Here is a 13,053-nt window from a genome sequence, read left to right on the forward strand (position 1 = left end):
GAGCCATATAGCACAACGTGCAGCCTTACTCTCAGTCAGTTCCCAACCACCTGCACTACAGGGGTCGTTCAAAGATAGGGATGCACAAATTTTGGATAATTCAAAATTATCTGAATTAGAGAATTCAGTTCTGTAAGGAACTGAAAAGTTCTTTACAGTTAACTTTTAGGAACTTTTAGACACAGCAGATTGTCTTAGACCAATATTAAAATGAGTCTCTATTCCTTTATCGCAAACCAACTGGCAGTTCAAGGGGCCAGGTCAAAGCCTTCTGAATGGTGAGAGAAGCCATCTGGGAACTGCTTTTGCCGTTGTTGTAGAATGAAACCTCATGAGCACCCAAAGCAGCCATTAGGTCCCAGGAGAGAACAAGAATCCTGGAATGACTGAGTTAAGGCCTTCCTGAGACTCGTGTGTCAAAATCTCCAGCACAACCTTCCCATAGCTCAAGGTGGTAGAGCACCCATTCATTCTTTCACTCCAGATAACTTCAGTATGTTTTAAAGTCAAGAAGCTTGGTGAGTTATAATAGCAAAGACTTCGAACCAACCCAAATGCCCATTAATGATAGACTGGATAAAGAAAATGTGGCACATATACACCATGGAATACTATGCAGCCATAAAAAGGAGTGAGTTCATGTTCTTTGCAGGGACATGGATAAAGCCGGAAACCATCTTTCTCAGCAAACTAACACAGGAACAGAAAACCAAACACTGGATGTTCTCATTCATAAGTGGGAGTTGAACAATGAGAACACATGGACACATGGAGGGGAACATCACACACTGGGTCCTATTTGGGGGCTGGGGGTCAAGGGGAGGGAGAGCATTAGGACAATGCATGTGGGGCTTAAAACCTAGATAATGGGTTGATAGGTGCAGCAACCGCCATGGCACATGTATACCTATGTAAAAAACCACTTTCTGCACATGTATCCCAGAACTTAAAGTAAAATTTAAAAAAAATTAAAAAGAAGCTTGGTGGGAAAGGAGCCCACTTGTTTCATACTGGACATTAAAATGAAGAGTTCAAAACTAATTCAATGCACATTTATTATCTCTTACTATATAATGGATGCCAAGTGTCTTAGACATTGAGGATATGTAGTCTGTACCCTTTAAACTGTTCACAGTGGAGAGGTAGAGAAACAAACAGAGTTAGAGAACATCATGATAACCATTAAAGCAGAAGTAGAGACAGGGTTCTATGGAAAAGCAAAGGAGAGCATGTAACACATGTTAGTTTGGAAGCCTTTCCTGAGTTGATAATGAATGAACTAAATTATGAAGCAAGAGCAGTTTTACAGGTGGCAAGTTGCAGGGGGACAGTATTGGGCACACCTCAGATTGATGAAACAGTCTGTGCAGGGGAAGGGAAGGGTGAGAATGCACACTGTGTCAGGGCCCATAAGTAGCCCAGTGCTGCTGAAGGTCAGGGAGAGGACAGAGGGCAGAGACATCCGGGGCAAACTCAAGCTCAATGTGGATGCCATGAATTCTTCTGCATTTCTTACAAAAAGCACTCAGAAACTTTTCAACGTTTTTTGAGTAAGGAACTATAAAATTATAATTGTGTTATAGAAAATAGATTGATAAGTTTGGAAACCAGCAAACAAGTTAGAAAACTATTTTCCAAGCAAGAAATTGTAATGATAGTACCAGTGGGAATGGTCAGTAGAAGACAAATTAAAACCTATTAGGTGGGTAGAATTGGCAGGGTTGGTAGTAGCAGCAATAATGTGAAGAACAAGAATGAGCAGTGGCTTGCATTGACTTCCAGGTCTCTTGGGCTATGACATTGCTAATTGTGCCAGTAGCCGAAACATGAGCTATAAGAAGAGACTAGAATGAAAATAGAGGGAGAAGATGAGATCAGCTTTTGAAGAGATGAATTTAAAGTATCCCTGTCTAGAAAAAGTTGGATATATAATCTAAAGCTTAGAAAAGACTGAATACTTGAAACCACAGCAATGAACAGACTCTATAAACATATCACGAAGAATGAGAAAAGAGAAGCAAAAATAATACCCTGAAAAATAATCACATATGAAGGGTGGGCTAGTGAGGGAAACTGAATAGGAAAGCCCAGAGAAGGAAAAGAAACTCTAGGAGAAATAAGGGTGCTACATTTTTCATGAGAGCATCCAGTGATCCATGCATTCAAGTTAACATTAATTATACACCTACTATATATCCTAGGAACTAGGGTTAAAATATTTAGCAAAGATACACAGTTTCTCCCTGTACTGAGTTTACAATACAATTGGGGAGATGAGTATTCATCAAATAATTACATAAATATACAGTTTTTATTGCAAATAATGTCTTAAAGAATAACTGAAGTTTTCTTTTTTCTTTCTTTCTTTCCTTCTTTTTCTTTCTTTCTTTCTTTCTTTCTTTCTTTCTTTCTTTCTTTCATCTGTCTTTCTTTCTTTCTTTCTTTCTTTTTTTTTTGAGGCTGAGTCTCACTCTATTGCCCAGGCTAGAGTGCAGTGGTGTGATCTCAGCTCACTGCAACCACTGCCTCTCAGGTTCAAGCAATTCTCATGCCTCAGCCTCCAAGTAGCTGGGACTATCCACATGAGCCACCATGCCCAACTAATTTTTGTATTTTTAGTAGAGACGGGGTTTCACCATGTTGGTCATGGGCCAGGCTGGTCTCAAACTTCTGACTTCAGGTGATCACCCGCTTTGGTCTCCCAAAGTGCTGGGATTATAGGCATGAGCCACCGCACCCAGCCTCAAGGTTTAAAGAGAAAAGAGAAGGAATAGTTGCTAACATTAATACTAGAGAGATGTAAATTCAGATGAGTGCCAGGTTGGGAATTGGGAGACCATTTTTTATTTTAATGGAAGAAATATGAATTAGCAGGCACATAAAGAAGGGAAGCTGCCATGGCTTGAAGGGTGCCAAGAAAATAAGGAAATGCAAATCATGACTGTAGATCACTCTTTTATTCAGTGGATTATGAAGCAATGGAAGGAGATAAGACCAGCAGCAAGGAACGTACAATTGTGTGAAATTATTGTAAAGATGTAAAGATTTGAGCATGCCCCTTTTTTCAAAGAAAATGGCCAAAGAAGTGATTTTGAAAATACAAGAGAGCACATGGACACATTAGTGGAGTTAGGTACCTGTGGGTTAGGGCGTACCTTTGAGCAGAAGGTGGGACACCTCTTTGGCTAAGGTGGGAAGGAAGACGCAGAGTAGACAAGAATGCAGATAGCCTGCTGGTGGTGGTGGGTAAACATTTGAAAAAATTTGTAGCTGATGATTTTTCTCTGTAAATCTGGGGCAAGGCCATTTGTTAAGAATATAAGGAATACATAGGAAGCTTGAACAAGCCATAACTTTCTAGTGATATCAGTCTGTGGTGTTAAATTGTTTCCCTGCAGCTGTGCTCAGAATCCTGATGTAGAAGAGGCTATGATGGCGTGGCTGCTCAGCATGAGGTTCTGCAGGGCACTTGTGGAGAAAGGACAAGGTGGTAGGTAAGTAGTCCTAAGATGGATGGAGAAGTTCACTGATGCTAAGAGAAAACGAACAGACTTGGAGAAAAGGGCATAATTAAAGGGCTGGAGTTGTGGTTGTGGTGGGAGAGCATGGGCCACAGAAAGAGGGAATGGTGGTGTCAGAGAGTGGAATTTACAGTCATAGCATTTTCAAGTATTTTCATGTTCCAGTGTGTGATCAAGAGAGTGGACTACTGAGGCGAAGTGAAGGTGAATGTCTTTGGAATTCAGGAGAAATCGTGAGATTAAAGTGATCTGTGTCATCCCCTCATATGTTAATGTGTCTTGCAAACATGTCAGGATCTCATGATCCAACACTCTAGAGCTGTTGCCGGTATAAAACCAATGTTTCATTTCAGTTTCTTTTGCTGAACTACCTAGAATCTATGCAACCAGTAACATGAAAGGAGTAAGATTTAGTCTGGTTTTGTGTTGCTATAAAGGAATACCTGAGACTGGGGGTAATTTATAAAGAAAAGAGGTTTCTTGGGCTAGGGATTCTACAGGCTGTACTAGGAGCACAGGGCCAGCATTTGCTTCTGGTAGGGCTTAAGGGAGCTTCCACTCATGGCAGAAGGCAAAGCGGATTAGGCATCCCATGGTGAGAGAGGAAGGGAAAGAGAGAAAGGGGAGGAGGTGCCAGGCTCTTTTGAACGATCAGTTCTGGTGAGAACTAAAAGAGTGAGAACTCACTCACTAATGCAAGGAGGATGCAAAGCCATTTATGAGATATCTGCCCCCATGACCCAAATGCCTCCAACCAGGCCCCACCTCCAACATTGCGGATCAAATTTCAACTTGAGGTTTGGAGGGGACAAATATCTGAACCATATCAAATAGCTACTGGCCCCTCCCAACTGGACCCTTGAATCCTCTCTGCTCCGGAGTGGGCATTTTACGACAGGGTTGAGACACCAAGACAAAGGCGGAGGAGAGAAAGCTGGTGATGCCACTACCCATTTCTAATCTATCTGACTGTTGATATATTTCAAACTTCATCTGCCAGAGCTGCCAATAAAACCTCCACTGCCTGTGAAGATGTGATTCGAAGAAGACAGCTCAGTAGCAATTCCATCAGCATTAAGTGGTTCTATAGCACTCTAGAATGTCACAGCACTTTGTGGCTGTGATTATTAATTTTTCCAAATACAATGCTAGAAGGCAGTCCAACAGCCTGAGCACATCTTGTCAGAAGCACGATGAAAAAAAGGCATAGAAATGGACGATGGGAGAAGCTAGACCAGGGCTTAAGCCAAGAGGAAGCAACACAATTCAGGTTACTCTCCATGAGCTTGGGAAATTCCATCTAACAACCCCCAGAAACTCAACTTGCCTGGTCAGAGACAATGAAGGAACCAACCATGTCACCAAACTCAGCTTAAAGAATATCATCATAAAGTATAGACACTTTTGGTGGATAATAGGTACTCAATAACATAACAAATACATTAATGTAACTTCAAGCCCCCCTTGGGGAATATAATAAGTATGTTTAGTTTTTTGAAAAATTTCTTTAGGCTTTACACATATAATATGTTCCCTCTTATGTATTTCTGTTATAATCCAATTAGAAATGTTACTTGAGGAATTTTATAAGAGAGTGAAGCTGTCAATGTTTTGGACAATTCCTATAATTCTATATCAGCCAAACTATCAATCCAGGTGTGGGTAAAATAAATACACTTTCAGCCAAAAAGAAATGAGGAAGGAAGAAAGAAGGAAAGAAGAAGGAAGGAAGGAAGGAAAGAAGGAAGGAAGGAAGGAATTAAGGAAGGAAGGAAAGATGGAAGGAAGGGAGGGAAGAATGAAGAAAGGGAGGAAGGGAGGGAGAGAGGGAGGGAAGGGAGGGAGGGAGGGAAGGAAGGAAGGAAGGAAGGAGGGAGGGAAGGAAGGAAGAAAATTAAACAAAAAATATTTTAGAAAATGCAATTTAACATAGTTTATTGTGACAATGAGTGAAGAGAGTAAGACAAAAAATCATCTTAATCTTAGCTGTATTAGACTGAAAGAATACAGTGTTTACCAAGAACCACATTAGGAGACATTTCCTGAATTAGACTTTTCCAAACTTGTAAAATGGGCACCTAAAGGGAGAGAACAAAAAATTTTAAGAGCAAAGAAAGAACTGTAGTTGATGGCTCTTCTTTAATTTAAACTATGACTATCTTTAGCAATGGACCTCTAGAATTTAAACAGTTGCCAGTCCTGAAATGCCTCCCATTCCCCTTCACATTTCTGCTGCACCTGCCAGCACACTGCCACACCAAGCAGGAGGAGGAACAGCTTTTTGCAACACATCTACTGGGGCTGAAGGACTCCGGCATGCTGAGGGGAGAAGACGTTCATTAGAAATCAGAGAAGCCTTTTCCTTTGAGTAAAGGACCCGTGGTCACTCTTAGAACTCCATCATGTTTATATAGGGAATTCCACATTCATATGCTTATGGCTAAAAGATTATTGGAGAAATATATTCCTCATCAAAAGTAGGAACCTTCAAGGGTACTGAAAACATGTTTCACGACAGTGGGCTACAACAGAAGCCTCTTTATAGAGACTGTTTTAGACCCTCTGAATTCAAACGGGAGCCATTTTATAGAACAGAAAAAAAGGATTATATGGCAGGACTGGGGATAGAGCAGTAGCCTTAGTGCCCCAAGCAGGCAGGCATCTAGAAATGATGTTGAAATGGAGCCAATCGTGTAGGGCATAGAACTCTAGCCAACAATTATTTTCTGGAAATAAAAACAATCGCAGGTTCTCTCTGTCAGATGGAAAATGGCAGATAAAGGAAGGAGACTTCAGGGGAAGAACTGCCAGCTTGGAACATTTTTCCTTTACCCCCTTCAAGTGTGTACAAGAACCAGATCTAGTTTTTTGTTTGTTTGTGTTCTTTTTTTGGGGGGGGGAGGGGACACGGGGTACAGACCTGGAAAAGTTGTCTTAGAAGGTTTGTGTAGAAGAGGAAACATGATTGCTGAAATCACAATTTATCAGAAAAGTCAGTATCAAAGAGTCTGTCAAAATCCTGTATCTGAGAACCTAAATGCACCAGGCATTCGAAAGTGCTAAGTTCTTGGTCCTTTGAGCCTCCTCAACATGAAGGCAGACATTTCCCTGTCATCCTAGAGTAGTGAAATGCCTCTTGGTTGCCCAGAGAGGAAGGGTAGGAAAAGAGAGCAAAGGCTAATGCTATTAAAAGGCTAAGATATTTCAGGCAGTGCAAAATGCTGGGGTAGGTGAGTCCCATCCTTTGTCTGAGAGATTCTACCTAGAAACGCTGGTCTGATTTCACAGCTGTTGTGCAGGAGGGCCTCCCCCCAGAGTCGACAGGGGAGTGGGCCTTTAGGAAAAGTGCAGCCTCAGGCACGGATATTTCCAGAGGGATACCAAAAAAAGGCTACCCATTAAAATCTTTGCTGTAGTAGGAATTTCATTTTTAAAATAAATTATATTAGGCACCAGCAAGGTTAATCTATTAAGACATCAGGATTAATTCCTAATGGAAATTTCTAAAATACATACACACATACATACATATTCTTTATTAAAACAGGAGAGACAAGTTAGACCAGAAATACGTACAGCACAATCTCCAGCAAATTTCTCATAATATTTAACATTAACGTTTCATCCAGGTAAGGTATCATCTTATTATAGGGTTGATGAAGCTTCGGGTAAAGTATTCTAGGGAGTGCAAAATCACATTTTCCTCCCCTTATAAAGTGTATATTTGTTTTATTTTCAAATTTCTGTTGCTTGGCGTTCTTGTAAATTAATCTGTCACCCATCAGCAACCAAAGTCACCTGATCAGGTGCTGCAGTGCTTAGCTGGAGATGGGAAGCCTCTGGAGGTCCCATTTCTGATTAACTCTCTTAGTTCAGATGGTTCCCAGAGTCTCCCGAAGGGTTTTCAATTCTGGCTATTTTCTTCTAGGAATTTCATTAATATTAGCTATTGGGCTTTGCTCCATAAAACCTCCAGTCTAGTTTCTGCCTATTTCTCTGTGCTCCCAGTTAGAGCATGACAGCCACTCGGGCTTTTTTTTCTTTTTTTCCCTTGACCCTCATTCTGCTTCCCAAGTAGGGGAAAAGGTAGGAGGGTTATGGTCAATTTCCCCATGAAGCACAACTAAAGAAACCCAGATTATGTGAATCCCAGGTTCTACTATAGAAATAGTCTTCTTCGGCCAGGTACGGTGGCTCATGCCTGTAATCCCAGCACTTTGGGAGGCCAAGGCGGGTGGATCACAAGGTCGAGAGTTCGAGACCAGCCTGACCAACATGGTGAAACCCCGTCTCTACTAAAAATACAAAAATTAGCTGGGCGTGGTGGTGGGCACCGGTAATCCCAGCTACTCGGGAGGCTGAGGCAGGAGAACCACTTGAAACCGGGAGGAAGAGCTTTCAGTGAGCTGAGAGCATGCCATTGCACTCCAGCCTGGGTGACAGAGTGAGACTCTGTCTCAAAAAAAAAAAAAAAAGGAAAGAAATAATCTTTCTCTTTTATAAAGGAATTAGCAGGCCTTGGAATCAGAGCTGTGTAGAAATGACCACGTGATTAATGATGCTAATGATGAGTACTCTTTTGGGGTCTTCCTGTGAGTTTCACATAGTCAGTGCAAGTCACATTTTATTTTATTTTATTTTAAGACAGAATCTTGCTCTGTCACCCAGGCTGGAGTGCAGTGGTGCAACCTTGGCTCACTGCAGACTCTGCCTCCCAGGTTCAAGTGATTCTCTTGCCTTAGTCTCCCAAGTAACCAGGATTACAGACACGCACCACCATGCTTGGCTAATTTTTGTATTTTTAGTAGAGACAGGGTTTCACCATGTTGGCCAGGCTGGTCTCAAACTCTTGATCTCAAGTGATCCACCCACCTCGGCCTCGTAAAGTGCTGGGATTATAGCGTGAGCCAACACGCCTGGCTTGCGAGTCACATTTTAAATCTTCATAACAAATAAACCTTATAAGCAGCCTTCCACAGCCAGTTTAAAAGTGCTATTATATCACTTAAAATGAATAAGCAAATAAACAAACTAGTAAAACAAAGCAAGAAAACAAGACACAAGCAAGTTAAGTGCAGGGAAGCATTGTTAAAGGTTAGCATAAAGTTTCTTTTTTCCTTTTTCCCTCCTTCCCTTCCCTTCCATTCCCTTCCCTTCCCTTCCCTTCCCTTCCCTTCCCTTCCCTTCCCTTCCCTTCTCCTGCTCCCTCCCTCACTCCCTCCCTTCCTTCTTTCCTTCCTTTCTTCCTTCCTTCTTGTTTCTGCAAACATATATTAGGGAACATTACTCTCAATCTCCTATGGACAAAAGTCACAAAGATGAGTGTGATGCTGGTCCTATCTTCAAAGACATGCAATTAGTCAAGAGACAGCAGAACCTCAATTCACTAAGATAAATGCAAATGTTAGAATCAGGGTATTAAAAAATTCAAAGGGGCATCAAAAAAGGGGGTATTCATTTTTACTATGATCCTCAGGGAATATTCAGAGAGCAGATGACACTTGAATTGGGCTTTGAATGATGACAAGGACTTAGGCTCCCGGGGAAAGGGGGAAGCACATTTTGGGCAGCAGGAAAGGCGATGCAGCCCCAGAAAGAACTATGTGATGAGAGAGAGCAGGGCATGAGTTTCTTCCCTGTTCACACAGCTACAGAACATGCATCCCACAAGAGTACTGCCAATCATTTATGTGAATAGTCAGGATAAGGTGACAAAAGTAGTTTTGGATCAGAAAACAAAGGCATTTGGGTACCACACCAAGGATTTTATCCTTTAAGCACTAGTGCTTCTTCAACCCGGGAAGGCAAAAGATATGCTCTGGAAAGACAGCTTTGGCAGGATGGACTTGATACTGATTCCATTATGATGACTCAGGCCAAAGAAGATGAAGATGAAGTCAAGAGACCCTGAGCAGACAAGACTGGGAGGAGGAGATGGCTATAGCAGATGTCTTTGTAGACTGCATTTGAATTTATGCCTAAATTGTGTTGGGGCAAAGGTGAGAGGAGTCAAAGATAAATGGACAGCTTTAAACTTGGGCAATTGTGTGTCTGGGAACAGCTGGAGAGAGTCAAGTTTGCAGGGGAGTGCACTGGAGATGTGGTACCCAGAGGGGAACCTGAGAAACAGTCATCCTTTCACTACTTTGTCAGGTAGCAGGGGATCTTCATGAGAAACGTTAAATTAAATGTAGGTTTGACAAGCCCATTAAATACAACACTGAGTTCAAAAAAAGGGAAGAATCGGGCAAACAGACCAAATAAGAGGCAGGAAAGCCAAATTAACGCTCTACCTTGATTCAAAGACATGCTAGGTTTTTTAAATCCACCATTGTAATAGGATGTAATGAAGATTTAAGCTTTAAATATAACCTAATACCCACTAATTAGGATAATAAAATACAAGGAGTTGCTGTGCCATCCGTACACTAACATAACTCAACTCCCTCTGCACCTTTTTTTCTCCTCACTCTCCGGCCCTGAAGCCCTCCCAGTGCCTGCATGTGCTGGTTAATAGACAGGAATTAAAGTGTGAAGCACGAAACTGGGGTATAAAACACTTAAATACGAATGTCTCCAGTCCTGCTGTCTGGAGAGATTTAATGATATTTTACAGGGAAGGTCAGGGCATGGCACACATAGGGAATATTTTAGGTTCTGAGTCTTGCTAGGAAGACACTTCCAGTCGAGGTGTTATTTGGGTTTATTTGGTTTTCCTTCTTTCCCCACTTTTGACCTGAGATTGGAAAAAAAAATCCAGCAGCTTTAAAAAAGAAGATAAGCATGTCTGACTATACCATCAAAAACAAAACATTTTGTATATAAACAATTTATAACAAAGCCAAAAGACAAATAAAACATTTTTGGATTGGGGGATTGCAAAGAAGAGGCCACACACAAAAATGAAGAAGAAAAACAAAACTCTTGCAAATTAAAAAGAGGGGATTAATAAGCAAATAAAAATTTGCAAAGGCCTATTCTCAGAACAAATACAAATGGCAAGCTGGTATATGGAATCTTGTTCCTATTCACCAGCAGTGGGAAATACAAACTAAACAGCTCTCCCTTCACACTTTACTAGATAAGCAGGCACTTTTAAGGCTTAAAACCCCTATGGCTGGCAGTAGAAAGGATACTTTCAATGTATACTTTATAAAAAATGAGATTATTATACATGTTTTGTCTGCATTTTTCTTTTCTTCTACAATGATACCAATGGAAATGTCTCCAAGTTTCTGGTATAATTTGCATTCATTCTTTTTAAAGACTATTTAATATTCCATGTTGTATGTATAACCTAATTTATTCTGTCATTCACCTACTATTTCGTTCACTATTTTTGCTACAAAGGCGGCTAAGGCTATAATAACTTTATCACAAATTTGTACTCTTATTTATATGGATTTTGTTTCTATGGGATGGCTTCTAAAGTTTTCCAAAGTTTAGGAGTCCTGAAGGAACTCGAGCATTGTAAGTATTTTTAGTTTTAGCAGGAGTTGCCATTGCAGTGATGAAGTATAGTGAAGAAGGGCAAGGATTGATGAACCCAACTGTTTGGAGTTCATCTGGGCTTTGCCACTCACCTTGGGCAGGCTATATAAACTCTCTGTGCTTCAGTTTTCTTATGTGTAACATTGGGATATAATAATACCTTCCTTGTAGGATATTTTACACTGATTAAATGAGTTAATCTATGTAACTAATGCACTTATATTAATGTGTTTGTAATTATATGTTCATAATGTGTATGTAATATAGTAATGCCTCATTCATAGTAAATGTACCATAACCTTTGCTATGATTATTCCTTAGAGAAAAAACACTGTAGACTATGACAATAATTTATTTTATAACCTTTATTGTGTACTATACACACTTCTAGAAGTATGTGGGATGATTTTACGTGATATGTGGTGGGATTATTTTAAAGTTATTCATTTATTACAATTTAGTGTAGACTAAGAGGTTCTGTGTTCTTTTTCCCATTTACAGCTGTCAAAAAAGTTCCTTTAAAAATCAATGTATTTAAGTAAACACATAAATAGCTTTAAATTAGAAAGTAATAAAACATAATGATATAGATTACATAAAAATACAGTTAAAAGTGTGCAGTTTGGGAGTGACTGGTATTCTGTATTATTATCATGCATTGCTTTAATTCTCCAAACATTTATTGTGAAAAATTCCTCCAGGTAAATTCTCTTAACTGGTAACTGAACCATGTGAGTTCTATCCAGTGGTGGGCTGGTAGACCAGCTCTACAGTTAAAACAAAACAAAACAAAAAACAAGAAGAATGCTCCGATTTACAGTGTTTGCTGATTTCTATGGGGTAAACACTACTGCCAGGACCAATCTTAGGTTACCAACAATTTAATTGTCTTGCAAAATTCCTAAATATTTAGCAATCAGCTCTTTGCACCCTACCTCGGTCCACTCCAGAACACCACTGTCCTACTTAACTGTTAAAGTAAAGAGTTTTGATAACTGAAGTGGACAAAACCAGGTATGAAAGAAGCATTTAGAATTCGTCTCAGTAAGTTGTATTTCTATCTCAATGACCTATAATTTCAAAACTGTGCAAGAAAAGGTTATTCCTGAATAGGAGTCCAAGTGTTGAGAAATGAGTGAGAGTTCTTAAATTAAAGGGCAATACTCTGAGAAAGGCAGCCCTGTGGGATGATTCTCATTTTACTGTGATTTGAAACAAAGTCATAGTTTCATAGAACATGCCTCCCTAATAATAGGAATCACGCTGCATTACGATCGGTTGTTTCTGTACCTGTATCACAAGTTGGGTTGTGTGGCTGCTTCATCCATAGATGCCTAGGCCTCTCTCTGCTCCTGTGGCCCCTGGAGCTTATGCTATTAAAGTTCTTACACACTGAGCTACAATACTGTGTCCACATGGCTGAGAGCACCTCTCAACTGAGATTAGAACTCAGGTGTCTAATTCTCAGTGCCCTCTCTTCCTTTTGTTGCAACGTATCTTGTCTCCTCAGTGCCCAAAGAAGGCTGTATAGGTCCCATTCTGGCATTGATAACAATCTTGTTATGACTTATGCCAACCATTCATTCATCATCCAATAAACATTTATTGAGCATCTAGTCTATGCCAGATGCCCTATTCCTTCCTTTTTCTCGCCTTCCTTGTCTTTCTATCTTTTTTTTTTTTTTAACTTTCCTCCAGGAGATCAACGTAGCTGAACACCTTGGAGCCAACTTCCAGAAAATACAAAGTCAAGACCATTAAATCTATCGATGACTGGAAAACCTTATTGGACTTCAGATTTATTCTAAGATTGTATCTGGGGGTGAGTTAAGAAGCGGTGGTAGTCAGCTGCTGAGAATTTCAGGTGGCTCAGCATGGGCCCATAGCCCTTCTCTTCTCTTGCTGGCATGACAAACCACAAATAGTGACATGTCCTGGACCTTCTCCCTGGGGTCCCCTTGCCTTAGCTTATGCAGGCAAGTCACTGGCACCAAGGGCAAAGATGAGGATAGCTTGACATTGCCTGCATGCCCTAGCCCAT

At 40.5% G+C, this 13,053-nt stretch overlaps 1 protein-coding gene across 4 annotated transcripts in view; it reads right to left on the bottom strand.

Moving 5' to 3' along the window:
* OPCML (opioid binding protein/cell adhesion molecule like) overlaps positions 1-13,053 on the bottom strand; it is a 1,117,521-nt gene that overhangs the window by 830,185 nt on the left and 274,283 nt on the right. The window lies entirely within an intron of this gene.

The sequence above is a fragment of the Homo sapiens genome, chromosome 11 (assembly GCF_000001405.40).
Source record: "Homo sapiens chromosome 11, GRCh38.p14 Primary Assembly".
Taxonomy (NCBI): domain Eukaryota; kingdom Metazoa; phylum Chordata; class Mammalia; order Primates; family Hominidae; genus Homo; species Homo sapiens.